Source organism: Homo sapiens, chromosome 1 (assembly GCF_000001405.40).
Source record: "Homo sapiens chromosome 1, GRCh38.p14 Primary Assembly".
NCBI lineage: Eukaryota > Metazoa > Chordata > Mammalia > Primates > Hominidae > Homo > Homo sapiens.
This window is the reverse complement of record NC_000001.11, coordinates 148651904-148679263: the sequence shown is the minus strand read 5'-3', so window position 1 is coordinate 148679263 and position 27360 is coordinate 148651904. Positions and strand designations below refer to the sequence as shown.

Here is a 27360-nt window from a genome sequence, read left to right as displayed (position 1 = left end):
CCGCCAACCGCCGGGGTTCCCCGCCGCCTCTGCTCCCCGCGGCCCGGGACCCCTCACACGCCTCCTCGGCAGGAGGGAGGCCGGCAGCAAGTCTCAGAAACTCCTTTTTCGTAGTGCCAGGGTGCAGGGAGGTGGGCAGTTTTGCCCTTCAGGTTCCGCGTTTCTTGGGGTCGAGCGAGAGCCGACGGCGGGCCTCGGAGGGGCTGAGCGAAGGCGTGCCAGATTCTGGCGTGGAGAGCGGGGGCAGGGCCGCCAAGCCAAACGGCCTGCACCTTCGCAGCCAGCCTCGCCTTTGCCAGGGGGCGGCACATGGGCCGGGTGTGTGGGCTTGGTTTGGATGGGGACGGGGTTTTGCGGCGCGCCTGAGTTTTGACACTCCAACCCCACCGAAAGTCCGGAGGAGCCGGGTGTGCTGCTCGCGTCTTTGAAAGGTGGAGGCAGGAGAAGTAGGGCAACTGGTGTGGCTGCATGCTGAGGCACATGATTTAAAAATCTCAACTGCTGTTATTCTTTCTGAGGCGCGGAGCTCTGCTGCTGTTTCAGGCTGTGTCCAGACCCAGGAATGTGGTGTGACGATCACCAATTCCTCCAACCTGGCAGCAGCATTTGCTGCTCCTTTGGCATGGCTGGGGGTGGGGCACGGGCGGGTGAGAAAAAGTGGATACGTCAATTCAAAGGGCTTCCTTAGAAAGCTTCTTTGTGGTTGGATGTTTCTAACACGGTTGGACCAAGGAAAGGGAATCAAATCATATCTTCCCCATCCCACCCACACTTTTAGATTCTACATTTCTTCAGACCCTTTAGTGGAAATAACTTGGGCTTTGGAGCCCTGCTCTGTAATCCTGGATTCAAATCCAGCTCTGCTATATGAACTCACCAATAAAATGGGAATGAAATTATCCAGCTAATAGGATTAATTAAAATAATGTATATTAAACGGATGACACTCCAAAGGTGTTCAGAAAGTCCTTTGAGGGCCGAGGCTGTGTTTTACTGCTTCTGAGATTGATGCTCCCAGTGGGATGGTGTCTTGTGCATATTTGTTGAACGGAAAGCAGCCCCTTCTTTTTCTGAGCCTAATCTGAATAAAGATTTTTACCTTCACCAAAAAACTAGTACATGAACTACATCTGTTTTCAAAGAAAAGGTTAGGAAGATGATGAGCTTCAGAAAAATATGGTCTTTGTTCATTGTTAACAGTCAGTCGACATGTCAATCGCAGATGTTTAAAAAGAGAACAAGGTTATTTATCACCCGAAAATAGTACTGGGTTGTTCAGCACCAACTAGATACTTCTTGGAAAGTTCAAATTTCGTACACGTCTAGGTCACTAAGAATTTCAGAAGTGGACCAGGAGGCTTTGTAGTGATGAAGCAGAGCTGTTGTTTCTGAAGCATTTAATAAAGAGCATATATGATGGTGTTTTTGCTTTTCCTTTTTCTTTGAGTGAAAGCTTTAAGTGTAGCTTTAGGATAGAGAGGAGTATAATCAATGAGACAGTCTGAGGGTAATAATCCTTGGTCTATCATTAACTTGTTTTGGTAAATAACTTAATCTTCATGATATGTAGTCTCCTCACCTATGAAGCAGGACTAAAGGAATAACCTGCTTTAGAGAATTGTAGGGAATAATAAATATGATTGTAAAGTGATTTGAAAAATTAAGTATTAAATAATATGTCAGAAATGGGATTACTCTGACACATAGGGCTTCTTTTATTATAGGATCTCAGTGCGTAAAACTATGCCCTCCACCTCTGCTCTGCTGAGGTGCTGCGATTATTAGCTAGCTTTTAGGTAGTCAAGTTGAGTGTTAGTCAAGTTGACTCAAAGGATAGGATTTAGATATTTTGATTTTTAGACAGGTGTTCTTTAGATGCTAAACTAATGCAGTAGAAGAGATTTAGAAGCCTGTTTCTTGGTACAAATCTTAAATCTTCTTAGAGTCTACAGTGAAGGCTTCTTGAATCCTCCTAATTTATTATTGTGTTTTGCTAAGGTACCAATTACAGCACACCCTTCTAAACTTTTGAGTGTTCCTGTGTTTGGCTTGTGGCCAATTGTTAATTTAAACATCACGGAGTTTCTAAGGCAAGGAGATGTTAGCAGTATGTCTGATTGTCTAAACAGCTATCCAGGACCATACTCTTGCTCCTTGTTTTCTTTTGCTTTGCAATGGGAAGTGACTCCCTGATTTTGCTGCCTGCTAGATAATTTCTCAGCTGAATTCTTCTCTTGCTTAAACAAAATCGGAGTAATTTTCTTTCAGATGGTGATGAAATTTAACCTAAAACTATTTTTCCTTTCACTTTCTTATTATTCCTTTTTTTTTTGGTGTGGTGGAGAGGAGGAGGAGAGTGATTCCTAGTCTCTCTTATTTTTCTGAATGTTTAGATTTAAAAAATATTTACCCATAACTTCTTGGGATCTCTCTGCTCCATTCCCACCCTACTGCCTCTCCTGTAGGCTTCTATGACATAGAGAAGCAACTTTTGGTTCACCTGGATTGTAGTTGCTGACTTCAGGACCTTTAGAGAATGTTTAAATTCAGTGGGATATGCTTGGATGGTTCAGAGCAGCCTTACAATACATTTTAAAAATATCACACCCACAGAAATTCTATTTTGCCCACAAAATTTGCATTGATCTAGTTCCCACTCTGTGTTGCCATTCCTAGTGATCCTCCTCCCTACCTCTCCCATTATGGTAGAAAAAAACTCTGTGTCCTGGCTACATCAAAATCTGTTGGGGTGGATCTTGGACTCAGCACCCAGGGATTCTGATAAGGTAAGTTTGAGAATCCATATTTTTTCAAGGTTTACAGGTGATTCTGACAAGTAACTTGGTTGCAACCCACTGATTAAGTACATTTTTTTTTTACCTTCAGGTGTGTGTATGAGGTCTTTCTAAATTTAAGAAATTTCCATAACAAATGTAACCTTAGTCATTCCAGTGTTTAACACTTCTGACTCAAGAATTTTAAAATTGCTAACGTAAGAGATATAGAATATAATGTCATTTCTTCTGTTTATCTGGGTGCAGTATGTCTGCATTGACCCTTTAGAAGGGCTTCATATATTTAGATGATATAATAAATTCTCCACCTCTCCTTTTCCCTTTTCTTCTGTTATCTCTTTTTCCTTAAATGTCATTCATACATGTTGTTTTTTGACCCTTTATCTATATACGTCTGCAATGATTTTAGAGTAAAAAACTGCAAGGCGTGATTTGAATAAGGATATAAGAAATTTTACATCATTTTCTTTATATTGTGTTCACAGTCCATAGTTACATGCTTCCTTTCTTGATGTCTCAGTTCGAATGCCTAAATTTGAACTATTAATTTTCCTTCCACCCTTTCCTGATTTTCCTGTTTTTGTTTCCCCCCCTTTCTCTGCAAATGACTTGAAACCAAAAGGTCTTCTTTTCTTTCTTTGTCAGTCTACCATATGTGTAGTATTTTGGACAGATCACTGAACTAGGAGCCAGAAGACCAGAATTCTTCTCCAGGTCTGTTATTAATTGGTTTGGTGACCTTGTAGGAGAGCCACTGTTTTGGTCCTCCATTTTCTGATGTTCATTGTTCATGGTCACAGAGCCAATTAGAGTTGAGACTAGAATTCCTTTCTTCTGGTGTCCAGTGCCTCATTCACTGTCCACATTGCTTCCATCTCGTGTACAAATGCGCTTATGTGCACAAAAACTCTTATAACATCCTCAAGTGCTTATTGTTAATGCGTACATGAGGAAGGAATCGTGTATTTTCATTTATGTGTTTATTCTAATGCCCATACCCTACCCCTGTACCTGGCATGATGCCTTGGTATCTAATAGGCACACAATAAATACTTGTTCAGTCGAACAATTATTTTTAGCCACTTTCTTATTTTGGACAACTGTGGTACTCCTAGACATTTTAAAAATAGTATTTGCAGGAGTCATGCTTACCTTACATTTGGGGAAAAACCAAATTTTTCCCTTCCCCAGATGTTTCATTTAAACTTGTAATTTTGAATTTCTTTGTGTGTGGGGTTTCTTTCTTTCTTTTTCTGATCACTTCTGCAATTTATAAAGGTCACTTTGACTTTGGAATCTCACTTCAAAGGCACTGCCATCCACCCCCTGCCTCTCATTCAAGTTTGCTTCCACTGCTTCCTGTATTACTGTATTACTAGGCCAGCAATTTCTGTTATTTTGTCCAGAATAGCCACACCTTATTGTAATTTCATCATTTTGGGGACTAGTCATTTTTGGAATACTATTTTTAAAATTAGAGTTAACTAAGTTTATATTTATTTTGATAATTTTTTTTTGAGATTTTTTTCATTGAGTTGGATATTGCAAACTTGTACTGGATTGAGAGAATATGTACATTTAGTAAAGTATATTTGCTTTTTTTTTTTTTGAACCAAGAGAGTCCCCTGAACACCCTACTGACAAAAACTAAAGGTGAAATATGATGAATAAATATTTGAGAGAATCACATGGTGTTGAGTTGTCTCTGCCACATGATTTTGATCCTTGAGGGCCAGGTCTGTGCTACACACATTTCTTTGTACTACAGAACTTGTCTGGCATGTGCCCCAAATTCAGAGTCAACTGAGCGGCAGGTCTTAGTCACAGCATCTGTGACTCCTGCTTTCCCACCTTTAGAACATTCTATAGGAGAGGCTGATGGTGAGTTGGAGTGTGTTTCTATGTTCTTTTTTCCTTTGAAGAGATAGGATCAGTTGAAAGCTGACCCCACCCACAGACTTTTTTTGCTATCTCTTTTAATTAATTAAGGAGTGGCTGAAATTTTCCTCTTTGTTGACTTATGCATTGGCGGGAACTTTAAAATTCATCTAGTCTTTCTGTCCATCCCATGCTGGATCTGATGTTTACAACATTCTAGTCAAGAGGTACCATATTTTCTCTCTTCTTGAACATCTCTTGTGGTAGACAGCTCTCCACAGCAGTTTATTCCATCTTTGGCCAGCTCTAATTCTTAGAAAGATCTTCTTATATTCAGCTGTAATCCATCTCCTCATGACTTGTCCTCATTGACATCTACTCAGAAATTTGTCTCAGAGTCCTGAGACCTGTGCAGGTGATAGGGACCCAAAGAGATGCTTGTCTGTAGACTTTACTGAGCTGACACCCAGCTCTCCATAAAAGGAGTCAAACCCAGTGAGGAGCATGTCTGGGGTGATTGCTCAGGTAAAGCATCTTAGCCCTACTTGTTTCATACCTCCCTGCACAGGTGGGCACTGGTGGGAGAATAACATTTATCAAGCAGTGTTTCCCTAACCTCTCTTATGATAAGAATAGCTCAGGTGTTCTCATGGAGATTCTGATTCAGTGCATCTGGAATGTCATCTGGGAATTTGTGTGTTCAAGAAATAGCCAGGTGATTCTTACATTAGGAAAGTTTTAGAATCACTGCAGAGTGAATCTGGGAAATCAAAGTGTTTGTTTTTGTTTGTTTGTTTTTTGAGAGTATTAGAGACAGGTTGCTTTGGCTAGATCCTGTGGTCATTTTTCCCCCTTGGAAATGCCTCCTACTTGCTGGCCACTTAGTACAGAGAAGAAAGCTGCTATGGTATAAGGTTAGTAAAGTTGTTTGTTTTGTCTTAAAAGAAATTTGCGAAATCCAGCATTTTCGGACTTCTGTTTGTGTTGTATGACTTTGTTGTAAGCCTCCTTATTCCTCCATTAGAATGTTACCTGAGATGTTAGAATGCATAGGAGTTCCACAGCCTTTTTGGTGTCCACTAAAGAATTCTGTCCTCAGCCGTTGCAAATGGTGCTTCCTTTGAGGATTTCTGCTTCATTAGCTCATGAACACATATTTGGTGTCGGCAGTTTCCCTCAGATGTGTTAGTGTGGAGAGATATAAAGGTCACTCATTTCTGGTGGTCCTGCTTTTGGGGTTTCTGGGCTGCTGCAGCAAATGAAATAAGGAAAGGAAAATAAAGGAGGAATCTAGGGCTTCTTGAGCAGAACAAAACAATCTGCAAGAAGGGGCACAGGATTGCTCCTCTCACAAAGACACTTGATAATACTGTCCTTGATAGGAAGAAGGAAGTGGCTTCAGATCTGAAAGGATATGCTCATAGGCTTGAGACGGGACAAACTGCATCACTGGTAGTGGTAGGAGGTTTGCCGTAGATCTGTTTTTTCTCCTGTCTCTCTTTTTTGAGGAGAATATTATCTGTATGGCAGAACATACATTGTGGTCTTAAAAAGGAGAGTAAAGCCAAGAAAGGGGGATGATAAAGCCATAGCTTGGAATAAGAAAAGCAAAGGAATTATTGTATTAATTTGTGTATGTAAATACATAGGTTTCCATGTAATTCACTGGTAGGATCACTAGCCCTTGGCACTAACATTTGCTATCTTTGTAGCTCTACTGTCTTAGTGGTGTATTGGGGGAGCATTGTGGTGTGTTGTCACACTTAATTTGTGTGCTTCCCTTGGCATCATGTGGTAGCAAGTACAGGGTATTCTACTCTTCTAGATGTGTGGGAATCATTGACCAAGTAGAAAATATGGTCCTGCTCCCAAGGAGCTGACATCATCATGGAGACAAGACAGATAAGCACACAATTAGGAATATGAAATACAGTTATTTTATCATTTATCTATGCTCTCTGAAAGCAGTTTCCTGCAGTCAGGGTGACTCAGAGCTATAGGGTCTTGGGAGTAAACTTCAGGTCTTAATACCACCAGGGAAAGGCGACCTCCAGCTCACCCTTGCTGGGCTTGTCTGCTGTCGTGAGCTGTCTGCCATTTTCCTCTTTCTGTGTTGTAATTTAGAAGTATTAGAACTTGGCTTGGGGAAAAGACAAAAACCCCTTTGTCTGGTGAGGGTGTAAATATAAATTTGGCACATGTTGTGGTGTCTATTATGTCTGTTAGTGGGTTTGCGGCAAGAGAGAGTGCTGTGTTCTTAGTCCCGAATGCCAAGCCTGAACTAGGACAAGTTATGGTGGAAATATCTTCCTTGGAAGATGCAGTTCTCAGTGGCAGTGGCTGAAGGAACTTCTCGTCACAGCCAGGCAGTGACTGAAGTGTGGTGTGGACACACCCAGAGTTGCTGCCTCAGGTGGCATTGATTAATCATACTAATATCTCCCTCACCCTTTTGTACTTGTCTTGGCAAAACCCTGTTCTACTAGCTCCCCAATAGTTTGGCCTTTACTAGGTATGATTGAACAAGCTCTTGGGGGTTCACCTTAGTGTCCCTTGCCCCTCTCGCATTTCCAGCCAGCTACGTCGCTCCAGCCATGGTACCCCGGGTCCTCTGGCCAGGCAGTGAGGGGCTGGGTTTTTCTTCCCATTGGACTGAAGCACCTTTCCCTGGAGGCTTGCCTAGGGCAGTTTCTGGTCTCTGAGTCAGTTCCTTCTGCAGGATACTGGCAGCTGGCAGAACTCTGGGTTATTTGAATACATCAGCCAAACATCTTGCCAAGATGGACTCATTGTTGCATAACGACAGGTTGGATCTATGGGTGTTGCAGAACCTGTTTCTGGGTTAAGAGTAACTCTCTCACCTTTATTATATATGTTTATTCATATGATGAATGTATGTGTGTATTTTGTGAAGTAAGGAAAACATGATGATAATATTGTGGTTGGAGTTAGATACCTTATCCTAAATATGTTGTCTTTTTAACAAATAGCATTCCTTTAAAATACAGTTGTGCTTGATGAATAAGGTGTTGTACAAGAAGCTGTGGTTACATTCTAAAATAAACTGCCTTGTTCTGAGGCAGGCACGTTTTAAAATTGTTGTTTGCTTCTTTTTCATCTCTTTTTATTTTCATCTTTTTTTGTGTGAGAAGATTCTGGAAGTTTTTAAGCCTCAAATATTTTCAATAATCTATTTTAACGGGTACCTAGCAGGGAGAGGTTGTTCTATTGGTATACCTAACCAACATTCAAATAAGAATAATTGAATACTGTTTACTCACTAATCTATTCTGTTGAGTTTCTAAGTATGAATAATCACAAAACTAGATAGTGCTGATATATTAACTTCTCTAAATGGTAAATGTGGTAAGTAGCAAAGACATTTTTGTTTAATTCTCTCCTTACACATGCTTTGGTTCAGACGCTGTCAAGACACATTGAAGTTTGAGGACATGTGTATTTCGATTATTTTATTATATTTTTATTTGCTGTGAATATGGGTTTATTTATTTGCTAGATCTTCTTTAGTTAGAAACATTAAGGGCATTTACTTTATTACAACATTTAAAGTGCATTCTAATCTTCATGAGGAATTTTAGGTAAAAGACCGTATCCTGAGATTCATGCAAGTCTTTGGCATTATGTTACTATTTAAAGTAAGTAATATGTAGTGGCTTCTCTGACATATTCTTTCTAAGAGAGTTAAGGAAAATAGTTGTAACTAAAAGCAAACATTGAAACAGTTTAAGGTAGGTTTACGTAGCAACAGAATTATTCGTTATGTTTACAGATAATTAACTCATATTTATACTTTGCTGATTTTCTCTGGCACCTTTACAAGATTTTTTTATTTTTGTAATATAAAAAGTAATTATGTTTGAAAAAGTAGTTAAGGATGTTTGAAGAATCTAGAAAAGCATAAATAAAATGTCCACAATCATGCTGCCATTAATTTTTTGGTATACGTCTTTGGTTTTTTTACCCTTAGATTTAGAAAAGCTGTTGATTTATTTATATATATATATATATATATATATGTATATATATATATTTTTTTTTTTAGTTTATGAACAGATCTACATATATATATATGCACACACACATAATATACTATTGTCAACACTAGGTTTTATTTTTAAAAATCTTTACCATTTGATAAGTGGTAAATATTACTTAATCTTAATATGCCTCATTACAGTGATATTGAATGTTTTTTCATATCATCAGTGGCGTTTGTATTGCCTTTTTTTCTACTTCTTTTGGTAAATTGTGTCTTTTACTCATTTAATTATTTTCTTACTGGTTTGAAAAAGCTCTTTAAATATTAAGGGTGTTAGTCTTTTGTCTTAAATATGTCACAATATGTATGGAAATAATTAGCAGTATATAACAACATCAAATTGCTACCAATGTTGATATAAAAATTGTTCATTTCATAGGTTAATTTTTTTTAATCCTTTGGTTTCTAATGATATTGGTTAATTCATTTGTTAACTGCTATTTTCTGTAGCTACTTGAAAGTTCTTATCTGACTGTATCGTAAATCAGCATGCTTTCAGCTGTATATGTCTAGGAAATTGACATTTACTTTAATACTTAATAAAAAAATATGTTGGAGAAAAGCAGTGTATTCTGGAGTCAAATACATGATTTTGGGTGGGTGACGTAATCGGCTACTGTCCTCCTTTTCTAGATAGCCAAGATTTTTGAAGCATTTAACATCCCTGAAAGGCAGGACTAATGCTATGTCTACCATGCACTGCTAATTCTGACACTTTGACCTAATGGATAAATGCCAGTACAGTGGGTCTAGCCAGTTAGCTTGGTCAGAGAACAAGATGACTAAGATTCTCTCCCCCTTTCCTCACCAAATTGATTAGTTGTAGGACAGAACTGACTGAAGCAACCTGTTGTTTTGGCAACCCATGGACACCACCTGTTTCTTCCATTCCTCCGTCCAGCCTCTCACTGCCCTAGTGCAGTGCTGTGTGCATAGTGGGTAGGAGATCAATGTTGTTGCTAAAGAAAGTAGCAATAAAGAAGAGTAGATTGCTTTTTTTCCAAGCTTTTGTGTTTTTAAGGCACCCCGCTGGTTTTGACATTCGTTGCTCCAGCTGAACTGCTCTATGCTGAAGCCCTGCAGGTCTCAAGTGTTTGGTTCAGAGTAATTTCAGGCCATATGAATGCTTTCTTAAGTATCATTGGAATTTACTGGGCTGGCTGTCTGCCAGCTATTACCATATTTAGCATGAAGAGACCTGGGGAATGAGGACATTTCTGATCAACCAAGGAAGGAAACCTATTTGAAGGATTACAATATTTTCTTTTTTTTTTTTTAATGGTGTAGTTCAGAAAACGCCAGTTAGACTGAGACTCAGATTTATGTCCACTGGTCTTTGTTTCTGTGCCCCATCCCAAAATTAATTTATGAATAGGAAAAGAGATTTGATAGTGAAGTTCTTTCTCACTCTGAAGTCTAATACTGTTTCTGGGAGGAAGTAAGAGAATTATTATGCCCACACTGTGCACTGAGAGGCTTAACCAGCAGGTGAAGCTGTTGATTAAAAACATAGGTTGATGAGTATTCTCATTTTTCTCCTTTGAAGCTTTCAGAAATTTTCTGCTTTGTCCTGGTCTAAATTTATTTTGGCCCAGCCCTTGTCTCCACCCTACATTTCAAACCAGTAGCCTTCCCTCTATGGCTCAACATTTCTCTGCCTCAGTTTTTTCCATTTTAAAGATGAAGATATTGTTTGGAAGGACCAGTAAATACAATTAATATAAAAATTGCTTCTGTAGAATCAAACAACCTCCAACATTTCTGTTGGAAATTTATAGTTTATAGAGTATTCTTACACAATGATCTCCTTTAATCCTCACAAACTTGGTGGAAATGGAGCCTCACAGGGGCTAGGTGACTTGTATACATTGTTTACCCCTACATAATAAGTGACAGAGCTGGTACTTAAACTTGTGGCTTGATTTTTCTTTTTTTTTTTGAGTTGGAGTTTTGCTCTTGTTGCCCAGGCTGGAGTGCAATGGCGCAATCTCGGCTCACCGCAACCTCCACCTCCCGGGTTCAAGTGATTCTCCTGCCTCAGCCTCCCGAGTAGCTGGAATTACAGGCATGCACCACAACGCCTGGCTAATTTTTTGTAGTTTTAGTAGAGACGGGGTTTCTCTATGTTGGGCAGGCTGGTCTCGTACTCCTGACCTCAGGTGATCCGCCCGCCTCAGCCTCCCAAAGTGCTGGGATTACAGGTGAGCCACCGTGCCTGGTCCTTGCAGCTTGATTTTTTAAACATCAGATTTTTTTTTCTTTTTTGATTTTTATTATTATGTGTCTGTCATTCTGCTAGGGGCTTTGCAAATATTGCTTTATTTAATTCATATGGCTATCCTTTGGAGTAGACAATATTTTTCTACATTATAGGTAAGGAATTTGGAACTTAGGTTCACAGCTTTGGATGTTGGCCTATGGTTAGTGAGGGGTGTAGCCAGGATTCAAACCCCTGTCTGGCTCTAGGGCCGCTGCAATAAATCATGGTGTTTTATGTACATTCATACACTTAACACTTTGCAACAACCCTAAGAGACAGGGGTAGGTATTTAGGGAAACTGGGGCTTCTAACTTGCACAGGATAATGCAATTAGTAAGTGGCTTAGTCGAGATTCAGAGCTAGATCTGTCTCCATAACCCTCACTCATTCCAGGATACTGCAGATGCCTATTTTTATGATATGTATAAGTAAAAATTAATTTAAAAAACTACCTTCTTTGAAGGGTCAGCCAGTTAGAACTCTTTTGTATCTTCTGAATAAGTAAGAAGTGGATGGACATTAGCTGACCGATACATTGATGGCTTTTAACCTTCTATCAGTTGATTTCCATTACCAGGACAAGCAAATATAATTTGGAGGGAAAAGAGGGGAGTTTCCATTAAGGATGAATCTTTAAGCCGAAAAGGGCCACAGTGATGAACTCTTCAGAGGACTGCTCTCAGGAGCAATGGCCCTTCTCCTCTGGGCTCTGCTTGGGGCATTCCTGTTTGTATTTATGGAGACATCTTTTTGAAAGGCAGATGCCAGCTTTGGTGGGGAGAAGGTTGGAAAACATACAAGCCTTGCTCTAAATTTACTAGCCCCGTGTCTTTGGGCTAGTTTCTGAAGCATGGTGTGCCTCAATTTTATTATTTTAAAAATAAAGATAGTAGCAGTATATTTTGGAGTTGTTATGAAGATAATATCAGTTAATAAATGTTAGATTCATTGGACAGTACCAGGCACATAGTTAAAGTGCAGTAAATAGTAGTTATTGTTGGTATTGGTGTTATTTTATGTTGCAGTACAGACTGGCTTCTTGGTGCATTCACTTTTCTTTAATCAAAAGTGGATGAGTGATTGGGAACCTTCATGAGGAAATAGGAACATCATCTTTGCAGCCTGTGGATTGTTCACTGGTTTCCTGTGATCTAATAATTATTTAAGGGTTTCATATTTGAGTCTTTTCCCTTAATGAGGTACACTTTCAGTTTGGGGAGATTTTATCTATAGGCATACCTTATTTTATTTTGTGTTCCCTTTTATTGTGCTTCACAGATTTTGTTTTATTTTTTACAAATTGAAAGTTTGTGGCAACCCTATGTCGAGCAAATGTATCAGCACCATTTTTTCCAATAGCATATACTCACTATATGTCCCTGTGTCAGTATTTTTTAGCAATAAAGTATTTTTAAACTCAGGTATATGCATTATGCTTTAGACATAATGCTGTTGCATGCTTAATGGACTAGAGTATACTGTAAACATAACTTTTGTATGCACTGGGGAACCAAAAAATTTCTGACTTGCTTCATTGTACTGTTTGCTTTATTGAGGTGAGCTGGAGCTGAAGCCACAATATCACAAAGGTATGCTTGTATTATGCAAGTTGCATTGATAGGTGTTAAATCATTTTCCCAATTTTTATTAACCACACATTTGTGATTGGATGTTATGTTTAGTAAAGATATTGTGATTTTCTGAGGTACAGCTTTGAGAACAGTATCAGGTCTAACACTCTTGTTTCCAAATTTCCTATGATATGACAAACATAATCACATGCCATCCAGTGTCACCATGCAGAGTACTAATGTGAAGCCAAAATACTTGGTGTTTTAATTAGCCTTAAAGCAGTTAATGAACTATCTCTGTTAGACATTTTGAAATAATAAAAATATCCCATTGTCTTTTATTACAACCTCAGGGGCTCCTGGAGATTTTGGGATCTTGTGTGGGGAACCACCCATCTAATCCATCCTTGTTTTAAAGAGAGAAAACCAAAGAAGCAAAGTGACTGGCCCAAGTACCTAGAGCTGGGTCAGGGTTGGGGCCAGAATCCAATCTCTTGACTTTTAGTCAAGTGATTTTTCCACTATGCTCAGTACTCAAATTATGTATCAATATGTCGGCCCTTGTTTTTTGAGGTCTGAAAAGGGTTAGTGCCAGTCAACAACAGTAGAGGAGTAGAAAGGGTGTTGGGATGGGAGAGGTGTGGCTATATTTAAAATTTCAATGACAGCAGTGAAAATAATTTGCCTGTGAACCTCTGCCTGTCCCTTTGGACTTCTTTGTAGTAGTTGAGACAGCCCGGCAGGTCTGGTGTCATTAGTGATTCAGAATTGGATTAACCTGGACTGGTGGAGTTACTTTCTCAGAAAAGGGCTTTATATTTTAACATTTGTTTCCCTTGACAGTTTGCTTCTTCTCAAGTTTTGGCAGCCTTGAACAAGTGGTTGTCAGGTTTTTATTTTGTTTTGTTTTAAGAAAAAATTCCAAATTTTATTTTGCCGATTTAGTAAGTTATCCTCTACCTGCCACTCCCTTCTGCTCCCTCTATAATTATTTCTAAGACTTTATTTTTCCATTGTGGGAACATTATGGAAGGTTTTCTTTTACAGTCTGAGATATTTATAATTATGTGTAAGCACACAGTTTATAGAATATGTAAATGGTCCATATGTTAACTTAAATACCCTTAAAATATTTTCCAATAATTTAAATCTTTCCATAAAAGTAGCTGAAGCTGCTTATAATAAAAGAGAAGTATACACGAAGGATAGCAGAATTTGGATGTAGTTAATATAGATAAATATGAATGTCACTTTGGAGGAACTGGAAGTATTTGCATGAATACTGATCAAGTCATGCCTCCTTGTTAATAGAGTGAACAAAACAGATGAATGTTTCTGTTTTCATGAAGTTTATGTGACTATCAGTAGCTTCCATATTCTGAGGGTTTATTATGTGACAGATGCTTGGGGACAAAATACTTTACTTGTTTCCTTTAGTCCTTAAAATAGATGTTAGGATTCTTGTTTACAGAAAAGTTAAGGAATGTTCATCCAGATCACCTAGCCAGTCAGTGGTAAAGAACAGTCACTGGAACCCCTCTTTCCTGATCCAAAGCCAACATACTTAACCATAATAAATAATGCCATTGTCTGGTGGAATCCTGTAGTCCCTTAGATAGTGTAATTTTGTATTTAATGTAAACATTTTGTGCACTAAACTGACTTACATTTTACTTTTTAAAACAATATTTTAATTCTGAATGAACATTTGCATAATAGGAGAATGATCTAAATTGCAAACTTCCATTTTGAAGAGTTGTAGTTCTTTTAAATCTTTTTGTAACTGGGAAGAAGAATGGAATTATGTTTGTTGTAATCCAAGGAAAGTTGGTTAGCATTCTTTCCTGTTACTTTTTGATCCCAAAAGAAATTCTTTAGTAGATTAAGACCAGGAATGAATGTGTGGATTTTTTTAAATAAAAAATTGAGAGAGATTGCAACTAGCAATTCAGAGCCAGATTTATGTTCAGAAATGTTTGATGCCAGCCGTTTTAGTTACAAATAGCTTTTTCTTGACTGTACAGTTGTGTTCTTATGGTACCATTCTGAAAGTGATGTAAGAGACCATGTAAAATGATTGGAATGCCTCAGCATCTGAACAATGCACATAGCCAATTATTAAAATTACCCAGTACTAACCTGTCTTGGCTTAGGAACTATGAAATTAACTGTGGGTAGCATTTCTACACATATCATTACAGAACAAGCATAAAGACAAGCTTGTTTTTTTCCTTTTCTGTGGATTTGTTTTTTCTTATTACCATATCTTTTGTTACTGAAAACTGGTGGTCATCTGTACTAATAGATAAGAGAAGTGTGTTTGACACCAATACCTAATCTTAGATTATCCCTGCTATTTTAAAACACAGTCCTTCGCCTGCATGCTCAGACATGTGGGTTCTTTCAAACATACTGGACTTCCTCCTTAGGTTTTAGTTGTGTTAGTCAATAGTTGAATGTTGAAGGAGAGGATGCCAAGGGATATTAAAGAAGGTAAAAGAGATAAGTGACAGCAAACATTATTTATTTTTAATTATCTCTCAGAATGACTTTTAGATACCCTTCCCTACTACCTTTTGATTTTTGCTTTAGCATAGCTGGTGAGTTTTGGAATCAGAGAGACTGGGCTCTGATTTGTACTAGCTAAGAATATTAGACAAGCCACTTAACTTCTTTAAGTCTCAGTACCCGTATTTATATAATGGGAATAATAGTAATATCTAACTTGCAGGATTGTTTGTAAAGATTGAAAGCAACATATTTAATTGTGCTTGCGTGGTTCTGGGCACAGAATAGGCACCCGAGTGTAGGGGCCCCTGAACTTTAAAGTTCATTACTTTCATGGTAATTCCTCCTTTGGAATATATAGCCTGGGAACATTTGTCTCTAGACCTTGTTTCAGTTTCTTTTAATGACTCCCTTTAGGCTCTGCTTCATGGCCAATGCAAGATTATGGATCACCTAAAGAGTAGACTAAAAGTACTATTGTCTAGTAACTTCAAGTTTGTAGGTTAACTCACTGTGAATCAAAAGCTTTTAAAAATCTTTTGTGTGGTCATAGTTTGTAGTGTCTTGTACCTCTCATCTCAGAAGCAATTGATTCATAGAAAAAATTATTTAGGATTTCAGATTAAAGATGAAGAACTCTTTCAATAAGAAGGAACTGATTTGGTTGGATTATTTGTTTCTTTCACCCCTGAGTTTTCATGGAAATCAGGTTTAAAAGGTTAGAAGCAGTTGGTTTTCAGCATTGGGAAAGCTTATCTGATCAGGCATGCGAAGTGGCCTATGTCGGATTTCTGAGCTAGGAAAGGCTAGGGGAGGTTGAGGAGATTATTGTACTTGTAATTCCTGAGCATGGTTGAGACACAAGGAGAGGATTGTGGAAATTGTTTTTAAAAAATTGTTGAAGTTAATGCATTCTTGGGTGGATTTGCAAAACAGAACAAAACAAAAAGTTGTTGAAGTTAGTTACACTGGTCTAACAACGTATACTTACCACCCCCATTTGGGCTGGAGGAATGGATCTAATAATAATATAGGTGTTTGTGATCTAATTTGAATCATGTAATCATTTATCATTTCTGGGTTAGATGGTAAGGATTTTCTGTTTCACAGATTTTTAGACTGGGAATTGTGCTATTATAAAATAATATTTTACATTAAATAATGCTATCTAGGTTGTAATCACCTTAATAGACATGATTTATTTGGGCCACAAATGAACTCTGGTAAGAATGGAGGGCTGGTTACATTATTTTAGTTTTACAGATGAAAATAATCAGTCTCAAATAGCTTAAGGGAATTCCTTTAGACCATATGGTTAGTATATGGAAAAGCCAGAGCTAGAACCCAGGTTCTGATTTCCAGAGCAGTTCTTATTTCATGATACCGCATAATTTTATAATGTCCCTAAATCCGAATTTCATTTCTCATGATGTGAAAGGATTCTCTTTATTTCTGTTTGGTTAGCTGCATCAGAGCATGACAGAAATGGAGCAGAATTTGAGTATTCTTTCCCCAGATGGGTCAGTTAGCTTTTCTTAAAGCTATTCTGTGCTTACATTGTTAATCAGTTGTCCCTGGTTCCTAGACAGGATGTTGATACATGTGAAATAGGCAGGAATATGTGTCTGACTCAGCTTAACTCATCACAACTTTCATATGTCCTGCTAGTGGGTCTATAACGTCACCCTCGTTTACAGGCGTTTTTAATTTTCTGATGTCTATTTCTTAGTATTTTTCCTCAGCCATTTTTAATGTCTCAAGCCGTAGTTCTTCCTGAGTGGCCTGAAGTGATTTTGCTGCTCTTTAAAGCTTCCTTAAGGTTTTTCAAGAGCGTACAACATAGGCTGCTTCTAAGTGTATTTTTATTTCCTAGCTCTTAGCATTTCTCACCTTATCATTATAACTTTAAATTTAAACAGAATACAAATTGTGTACACAGATGGTGTGTCACTATTGCACTGTCACTTATGTAAGTGCAGTTTAGCATTTCTTCTTTCCTTTTAATCAAAATGAGGAAATAGAAAATGTTTTGTTATGGTAGTTTTACACATACACCCACAAGGAAATGTGTATCTAGAGTCTGTGGGAACTGTGACTGATACATTTCAGGGAATAAAATGTATGATGGCTAAAATTTTAACTCTGCCAAATGTTCACGGGGAAAGAAAAATTAACAAACTCACATTTTACACTTTATTTTAGCCTAGTCTCTGCCTTGTTTACATCTATATGATAATGAAGCTATACTTGTCTTTCCACAACAGTGTATTTTATAAGTTGTACCTTTTGTTTAAGGGAGCCTTCTTAACAAACTTTCTTTCAGTTGTCCAGTGTACAGAAGCTTACTGGAAGGAGTGGCCAACTAGTTAAAGGTTTGACACCTCAATATCAACAAAATGCCAAGTGGATCATTTTGACTCTCACAGCAATCCAACTGGACATTTGACCATGCCCCGTGGTCAGTGGAGAGCTTCTTCTCTGAAGGCCACTTTTATCTAGCACATCAAGGCTATACATCTCTTTCACTAAGAAGAATTTGGCACTTTTATGTTGTGAGAGCTGAGATTCACCATTCTCCACCATCCTGAGAAGAGCTTTGATAGAAGGGCTACTCGTGAGGTACATAGATTATCTAAAATACATACAATTTTTTCATAGAAAATTATATATGTATTATAATTTTTATTCACGACAGGTTGAAATTAATAGATTTCTTACATTCACTGCATTAAAGGAATATTTATGGCTTTGGTAATATTTTAAATTTCAAATTAAAAAATTTGAATATCTGAATTAAGTATCTCTGATTTAACTCTGTGTGTGTGTGCGTGTGTGTGTGTGTGTGTGTTGGGAGGAGGAATAGACCTTGGAATTGTTTTTTCAAAACTTTTTTTATAATAGTGCCTAATCTCAGTTGGCAAGGAATAGCTGTCCAGAATGCTGCATAGATCTAGTGAAAAGATTTAGGGAAGTTGTAACTAGTTTAATAACCATCTGTGGAGTGACATAGATTGACACACCCAATTACACAAGACCTGAGTCTGAGAACTGTTGATGTGCAATCATCCCATCAGCATCTGCTCGTCATTATCAACAACAATAATGGCTCAACTATTTCTTTGAGGCCACATGAAAAGACAGTGTACCCATAGCAAAAGATAAGTCAGACCTGAAAAAAACATAGCCCTCTGCATCCCCTTGTTCCCAAACTTCTTTTTAAACATAACCTTTTGTGAAGTTCTGAAAGAATTCATTTTATGTTTTCTTTTTATTAATTTTTCTTCTTAAATACCATGTCTTTCTGGCTGAAATCCTTGCCAAAACCAGGAAGGGCCAGTGTACTGTGGGTGATTTTTCTAATTCATTTCTTTGTCATTTGAAGCCTTCTGTGGCTTCATGCTGCTTTATGTGTGTGTAAATATTCAGTATCTTTTCTAGTTTACACTTTTGTCACAACTGCTATTAAGCCACCTATGGACACATTCTAATATAAATTATTTTGGCCACTGTGAGTGGGAGGGAAAGAATCAGTTCACAGGGATAAATTTGCATGTTGAGAAGATAATATATAATAGTTTGCAAAACACTTCTATGTACATTGTATCTTTTATAGAGACAAGGCCATGTTTTTATTTGTGGAGACTGAGACAGAGACCCCATGAGATCTAATGCAGAGTCACATGACTCCATAGCCAGGTCTTCTATCTGCTCTTTGGTATATAACTGGATCATTATTCTATTGACAGAATTAAGGAATCTTCTTATTTTTCAAAGGCACCCTTTTGCCCTTGGAAGGTATATTTAGAAATCCTTTACCAGACTAGAAAGAAGACAGTTATATTTTCCTGCCTTTTGATAAAAAACAGTGTGTTTTTTCTAAATCTTGTTGTGTTTGACTAGAGTCTGATTAAGGTACCTTTTGGGAAATTAAGGTTCTATAGAAATTACTGGGCTCAATCTAGTGATACAAATATGTGTTGTTTGATTTATCAACACATTACAAACCTTAACTTTGGAGTTTTAATATCTGGTTATCTTTAATATCTGGTTATCTTCTTTCTGAAGTGTATGTACACAAAATTGATGCTAAATAAGGTCTTGTTGTTTTGGCAAATAGTGAAATGCAAGGTATTGGTAGATCAGTACTGTTATAACTTTGGTGCAAAGTTGCTGCATGCAGATTGGCTGTGGGACCTTGTTCATTTTTTGAGAACTAATGTAGAGTTTGAAAAAACACCGTAAGCCTGCATTCCAGAAGTTCTGGTATGGATAGTGTGAGCCCAGGGAATGTGCTTAGATAAAAGATCACTTAACAAATAGGTTTTGCATTTTTTTAGCAATCAGGCTTTGTGCTGAATATTAGAGTGGTTGTTTCAGAGAGTTTGCAGCAATTAGGCTTTATTGGTGCACTAAGGAGAAGCAGAGAGGAGAAGCAATTCTTGGTAACTTCCTTGGAAGTTGCAGCTAACTCTGAAAAGTCTGGGTTGAACTAGGTAAGTAACTAATTCCTAGAATCAATAAACTTTGCAGGAGTCCGTTTGATTGTACATGTAGCTCCCTGGAATTGCTATTGGTCCCTAAATCATCAGTTTGTAATGCTGGTTTTCAAACTTGAGTGCACATCAAGTTTTGGAGGACTTGTTAGAATACAGATTGCTGGGCTCACCCCCAGAGTTTCTGATCTGGTAGGTCTGGAGCGGGACCTGGTAGATTGCATTTCTAAAAAGCGTCCAGGTAATACTGCTGCTGTTTGGGAAAGTACACTTTGAGAGTCACTGGCTTACAGCAATCTCAAGGTGTTTGGATTTTTGGGCAGGGGTGCTGTGCAGGCGTTGCTGGGATCTCTTCACAGCACCTCCACTGCATAGAGGTGAGCCTCCAGATGTTTTCATTCATTCAACAAATATATGTACCTATTGTGTGCTGGGCACTGCTTAAGTTGCGAGGGGATATTGTGAAGAAAGTAAGCAAAACCCCTTTGTTTGTAGAATTTCAGTGAGCATAGTCCTGGGTTAACCTGACAACAGTCCTACTGTTTATTGATGCTTATAGGTGAGCCTATTTCTCTTTCTAGCTTTCTTCCACTTAATTTACTTTCTTTTGGAATTCTTGAATTTAATAATAATAATATTGATGTTATTAGTCATCACTATAACTTTTTATTGAGTATGTATTTTATGTCAGACACAGTGTGGCTAAGTGCTTTACATACATTATCTCATCTAATCCTTAGAAAAAACCCTGGTGTATTAGTCTTAATTTAAAAGATGTACTTTGGAAAGGTTAGTAGTTTACCCAAGATTATGCAGCTAGTTAAAAGTGGTGCTGGGGCTGGGCTTGGTGGCTCACACCTGTAATCGCAGTGCTTTGGGAGTCTGAGGCAGGAGGATCGCTTGACACCAGGAGTTTGAGACTAACCTGGGAAACATAGCAAGACCCCATCTTTACAAAAAATAAAAAAATTAGCCAGGAGTGGGGGTGCACACCTGTGGTCCCAGCTACTTGGGAGGCTGAGGCAGGAGGATTGCTTGAGCCCCAGAGGTTGAGGCTGCAGTGAGCCATGATTATGCCACTGCACATCTGTCTGGGTGACAGAGCAAGATCCTGTCTCCAAAAAAAAAAAAAAAAAAAAAAAAAAAAAGTGGTATTGGGCCTGTCTAATTGCAAAGCCACATTCTTTACTGCATGCTTTAGTCCATTGTTTTTTAAACTGCAGATCATGACCACGAATGGGTCATGAAACCAATTTGGTAGGTCTCCAACAGCACTTTGGGGGAAAAAGGGGTAGAATAGAGAGTATCACATAGTATGGACAAGCATTGTTTCTTGAAATTTTTGTTTTTGCTATGCACGTATATATGTGAATATTGAGGTCTGGTACAAGATATATTTCTCACTGTAGGTCACAGTAAAACATGTTGGTAAGCTACTATTTTCTTGGCTATGGGACTATATGTCATCTAATCACTTTTTAAAAACAGATTACAAACTGTAGGCCTTAGAAAGGTAAGTAATTTTTCAGCTGGGCATGGTGGCTCATGCCTGTAATCCCAGAACTTTGGGAGGCCAAGGCAGGCGGATCACGAGATCAGGAGTTCAAGACCATCCTGGCCAATGTGGCAAAACCCCGTCTCTACTGAAAAAAATGCAAAAATTAGCTGGACATGGTGGCGTGCACCTGTAATCCCAGCTACTCAGGAGGCTGAGGCAGGAGAATCGCTTGAACCTGGGAGGAGGAGGCTGCCATGAGCTGAGATCACGCCATTGCACTCCAACCTGGGCAATAGAGAGAGACTGCATCTCAAAAAAAAAAAAAAAAACACCAAGGTAAAGTAATTTTTCAAGAGCACAAAAATAGTCAGTGGCAGTACAAAGACAAGATGACTGACTTTTTTTTTTTTTTTTGAGACAGGGCCTCACTCTGTCACCCAGACTGGAGGGCAGTGGTGCGATGTTGGCTTACCACAACCTCCACCTCCCAGGCTCAAGCGATTCTCCTGCCTTAGCCTCCCGAGTAGCCGGGATTACTGGGGTGTGCCACTACCACCCGGCTAATTTTTTTGTATTTTTAGTAGAGACGTGGTTTCACCATGTTGGCCAGGCTGGTTTTGAACTGCTGACCTCAAATGATCCACCTGCCTCAGCCTCCCAGAGTGCTGGGATTACAGGTGTTAGCCACTGTGCCAGGCCAGATGTCTGACTTTTTAGCCCTTGGTCCATTGCTTTATTCTTCACACCATACCACTTCCTTAGAAGTGCACCTGGGAATGCCTGGGAATTGAATTTTATCTTTCCACATGATGGCAGATATGCTATGGAACCTTCAGGGATGTCGGTGAAACCTGAAAAGGGAAGTTGAATCTCAGCCTGCTCTGCGTAGGTGAAAATTCTGCCTTGGATCCCCCAAAGTCTGCAGATAAAGATGTGACATTTCTCGTGTTCTGCTGTGCTTGAAGGAAAGAGGGTAATAATCTTAACAGTGCCAAGCTGTAAGCATGTTGCATATATTAACTTGTTTAATTACTAATTATTTTGATACAGCGGCCATGCCTGGGATATGAACTCAGCTGTTTTGAGTGAGAAGGGGCATCCTACCAGTGTGAGTTAACACTTCTCTGTACTCTCCCCGGTTCCTCATTTTGTTCCTGCTGAGTTCAGAGCTATGTTCCTCATAGCCTGGCTTACCTGTGGATGTTCTCAGCCTCATTTTCTTTTGCTAGATCATATATCTTCATTAGGTGGGTGATTTTGGTTTCTGTTACTTTTTCCTTAATATTAGTATATTGCTGATTTGGATCAGGGGCCAGGCTGTAGATTTTCAGCATGGTGAGGTGATAATACATGTTGGTCCCCCATGCAGAATGCTGCCTCTAGCACTTTAGCCAAAGGAGCTCTACAGTCTGTCCAGAAGTACTGGGGGACACTGGTAATAACCTGAGAACACTTACAGAGCCTTCCAGAAAGTGCCCTTTCACATCATATAAACAGATCATGGGAAGCTGAGGGAATGCAAAGTCAAGGCCTCATTGGAGAGCGGAAAGGAGGCTGAGATTGGTGGAGAGGAGTGGCTGTTACATTCTAATTAGAAGAATGACATGTGCAGGGCCATGAAGCAACTAAAGATGGGATGAAAAACTTAACTTGTGAATCGCAAAATTTGAGTAGGAAGGAGCTGGAAAGGCCTGGAAGTGCGAAGTGATTGGCCCTTGGTCAGATGGCTAGAAGATAGAGAGCCAGGCATAGAACCCAGAATCCAGGCCATCATTTTGTGGCCTCTTTTATCCTAATGACATGTTAGCCAGAGGTGTCTTCCAAAGCACCTGATTATAGGGAAGAATGAATGTCACTTACCCTAGAGTGAGTGAAATAGAGATGCCAGGAAGATATACCAGGTTTATCCAGTTTCTTTGCATTTTTCTGGCATACTGTATACTCTTGAGCGCATATGTATCCTACTTTGTGAAATCTGGGGGTAAAGCAGGACCCTTCAAACCCTTAAAAAATGTATACCCCAAGAAAAACATTTTTAAAGCATGAACGCTTCCTCAAGTAAATACATATTTATACATTATATAAATGTCTGGCTATTAAACCATGTATGCATATGTTAACTCTAAGTAAAGCTTATTATATGTTTTTTAGCCCATAAATATGGAGATGTTTTAAAATTTCTTCCAGTGCCCCAGTGGATGATCTTACACCTCCCGTGCTTCTGGGATACACACACCTAATTTTGCAGACCACTGGTCCAGAATGTAAATTGAAGAGTTTAATGTCTAAGATATTTGTTCTTTTGTTTGTAGCTTATCTTTTACTCCCCACGTTTCAAATATCCGTTTGCAAAATAATTTTTGAGTTAAAATTTTCAATTAAAAAACTGTATCCTTGAGGTAGAAAAGATAAAGATAGAAGATATATGTGAATTAGGTTGTATCTCTCCTTAAGAGGGAATACTGTTTTTTATCTAAGGAGAACTAACAACCCTCCCTTTCATTGTCTGGGTTGGTATAAGTAAAAATCCTTGTTTGAAGTTATTAAGCCTTCCCACCCATATGATGATTAGTTTGGTTCATAAGCTAGAGTTAGGGCTTGGTAAAGGCTCCTTTTTTTTTTTTTTTTTTTTTAAAGTCTTTCCACCTTAACTAGCAAGTAAGCTAGAAATGACAGAGCAGTAGAAGGGGGAATCTACCAGAGTGTCCTACAGGACCTTGTTGAATGCTACTGCTGCATGCAAGGGTTGTGGATTTGGTGTGGGCCTTCTGCAGTATCACCCAAATTTGAGCAGTACATGTAACTAAAAGTAAGAAAAATAAATTAGACAGTTTATTTCATTTCAGACTTTGGAAGCCCAGGACTGTGGGGATTAGCTATTAGCTAAGACAATGATTCACTGAGCAAATGCAGTGAAAGATTCTTTTGTTACACTGATCATCATTTGTGGAGAGACTCTGAAGAAGGATAAAGCTCTGGCTGCATAGTCAAACCAGACCTACTACTCAAGGACATGCATACTAGATATGTAGGTGTTTCCAAATATTTTTTTCAGTTGTGGGGGTGCAAATCATTTCAATAGTAGAGTAACTCAGTTCATTACTGTTACTGGAAAAACAAGTTTAACCAAGCACATATCCTACTGAGGGTGAGTCAACAGTGTCATTTTAACATAAGAAGGACAGTACATGAAGTGAGTTATTCCAAGTCCTGTGGTTTTCCTACAGCTGAGCAAAGACAGCTGTTCTTTCGGAAGTGGGGCTCTAAAAAGAAGTTGCCCATCTCCTTTCTTTCTTGATTATAGCCTTTTAGTTTTCTTTTGGCCTGAGACATTTCAAAAATTCATTTCCTCCTTAGATTTCTATCACCAAATACCCTGAATTTTGATAATTTATTTATAGAGTATATTATTTATTATAGACTTATTATAGCTTAAAACTTTATTTTAATTTATCTCCCATTTCAAGATCCACGTTTGCTATATGTTGTGTCAGATAATAAAAATGCCATAAGGAAAACAGAGGAGTGATCTTTTTTAATATGTCATTATTTTCTATAGTTCTTTAGTGGTATGGACATGGAATAAGGTGGCATTTTGTGGGACAGTATACCAAACTTAGTGATAAAATTTATACTTTTAATTTTGGAGGACAAAAGTCTTGTATTCTCAGCCTTGTGGATAAGACAGTGCTCTGAGCTGTCTGAGGTTTCCTAAATTGGGATTCAACATCATGAAGGGTATGTGTCTGGATAGTTTATTTGTTGGTTTGGGAAGGTGAGTTTTTGTCTTTTTTCCCCCTCTGAGTTGATTTCTTTAGTTGGAGAGAAGCAGACCAGATGAAGAAAATACTTTATCTCTTATGGCATTTTTGGTTTACCACATTAGTGATGACCCGTCTTCTCTGAGCAGCAGGCCATGCTTCTCTGTTCAGTAGTTCAGTTTTCACTAACTTAACTGCAGATGTGTTCTTGGAGGGATTTATTTCTAATCAATTGAATTATGGGTACTTGGATAAAATGATGATGGGTTACCTACTTTTAATAGGGCCGTCATTTTTAAGAGTAAAATCTTGTCAAGATAGGGTATATCATACTTATGATCTGGTTCCATCTCTAACTCCATAATTTCCTTTTGCTCCTGTGTTGCTACTCTATTATTGAGAAGAGATGGTATCTTGTCAGTGTCAATTTTACAAAGAAAAAATTCTAAACAATTTCAGTCATAGGGTAGTTTTTTTTTTTTCCTGGAGAAATAATGCATAGTGTAGTATGTTGAATCCTAGAGTTGGCAGGTTTTCAAAAGTGGAGTTCTTTTGTTGTGTAGGTAGGGGTGATGCTAGTCAATGGGTGTTAGTCATTAGGGCATGTGTATGAGTGGTAGTTCTGAGATACAGCATTGGCAGCCCCTCTTGTCCCTGGTTTTGTTTTTGATAAGCAAGTCCTGGTTTTGTTTTAATAAGCAGGTCATTAGCTGATCTTTCGTGTAAATGTTTTTGATGTGCATAGCTGGTATGTGGGTGGTTACCTACCTGAGAATGTTGTAGTCACAAATGTATATTATGGAAGTTTGCAGATTATGGTGGATATCAGGTTTTTCTAACTGCGTATTTACAGATGTAGTGAGTGAAAGGAATGTTGGGTCAGTAGGTAAAAGACTTGTGCTCTGGTCCTGGTTCAGACATCTTGATTTGTGTGACTTTGGGCAAGCCCCTTATTTCTTTGAGTTGCAGTTTCTTGTGTAAAATGGTGCTAATACCAATTTACATGCCTCATAGTGTTGTTGTGGGGATCAAATGAGATCACTGTTTATGAGCAGCCTTCTCAGGAGTGAGAAATAGAGGGTTGTGAGCTGACTTTCTGATTTGTTTGGCTGAGGTGTTCACACAAGCCATAGAATGCTTTGTAGGCTTGGGTGGAGGAATGTAGATGGAAATCAGCTGAAAATCCCTGCCTATTAGAAGCTGAGATGTTAATCCTAAATATATTCTATGGAGTACTATCAGATGCCTTGCTTTTCTTCATGATGCCCTATTAGCTTCATCTTCAGGTAGCATAGGTGCCTGTTACTCTCATTTTACTTGAAGAAACTGACCAGCCAACTGATTTAGGATATGGCTGGCTATCTTCTGGAACTCACATTAGAGTTACTCCTTGAGAGTAAAGTCTTGTATTTTCTGAAGGTTGCTGCTTTTGGGGTATTTTCCGTGGAGGTGGGTGGGCACACACAAAAACTCACTGTGCTCAAATTTATAAACTTGTTCTTCTTAACAATTTTAAAGCCAGATTACATTGGATTGGGGGAGGGGAGGATACTAGATTTAGTGTTTTTTAATATAAAACTTTGTATTTGAAACTTTATGTGGTAACATATATTTAGGCTCATAGCCAAAGTGATTACAATGCATTGGTTTTAATATTTTCAGTGAGGTAATGTGTGCTTTAGTGGGGAGGAGGAGAAATATTATTTAATCACCAGCACTACACTAATAACCACATTTACTAAATCCTTTGTCCCTTTGCTTGAACTGAGGGTTCCTTGCTTTTATACTGGTTTTCCAAAGGACTTAATCTTGTTAATGTGATGAGGTGATGATGGGAAGGACATTCCCACTGGGCCCGAAGTGGTGAAACTGGTAAAACTCCCTTTGTAAGTCCCTCTTGTTCAACATGAGTGTCACTCCCATGTCCCTAAAGTAGAACGGAGTTTTATTGAAGAGAGAATTTTAAGAGTGATAAACAAAAGAGATGGAAATATCTCCTGTGCCAGGTCATTGTTACCATTAAAGACTAGAATAAACTGTAATTTTGCAGATTTTCTTTTTGTCTTATGGGAAATTAAAGACTTGGTTATCCTCTCTCGGAGGAAGATAGAAAACTACTGGGCCTGCTCATTAACAGTTTAGCTTGGCTGACATTTTTCAAGCACTTACCATGGTATTATAGCTGGGCTGAAGCTAGGTGGAGCAGACCTCACTTAGGTGTTGCCTAGCTCCAGAATCTGTCTTCTGGTGGAATTCCCTTAGGCTTCCAGACAGGAGTGGCAACAAAGCAGATGAAATGGAAGGTAGGCCAGGGCATCTGCTCGTTCGCTCGCTCGCTTGCTCTTTCTCTCTTTCCCTTTTCTTTCCTTTCCTTTCCTTTCTCTCTCTCCTTTCTTTCTTTTGCTTCCTTCCTCTCTCTTTCCCTTTCCCTTCCTCTCTCTCTTTTCTTTTTTTCTTTCTTTTTTTTCTTTTCTTTTCTTTCTTTTCTCTCTCTCTCTTTCTTTAGCAGTTTATTACTCATTTGTGAGAATCAGGG

The 27360-nt window shown here is 38.5% G+C and overlaps 1 protein-coding gene across 12 annotated transcripts in view; it reads left to right on the top strand.

Moving 5' to 3' along the window:
• NOTCH2NLB (notch 2 N-terminal like B) overlaps nt 1-27360 on the top strand; it is a 112254-nt gene that overhangs the window by 33275 nt on the left and 51619 nt on the right. The window contains exons 1-2 of one of the 12 annotated variants that reach the window (XM_047420756.1): nt 48-131; nt 2677-2786. The exons of 6 other annotated variants lie outside the window; for them this stretch is intronic. In XM_047420756.1, coding sequence (XP_047276712.1) covers nt 2703-2786 — 84 coding nt within the window. In that variant the 5' untranslated portion in view covers nt 48-131; nt 2677-2702. Of the gene's footprint in view, nt 1-47; nt 132-439; nt 2787-8765; nt 17692-27360 lie in introns of those variants that run through there. 5 more of the 12 variants (XM_047420672.1, XM_047420702.1, XM_047420616.1 and 2 more) reach the window with 5 other exon arrangements.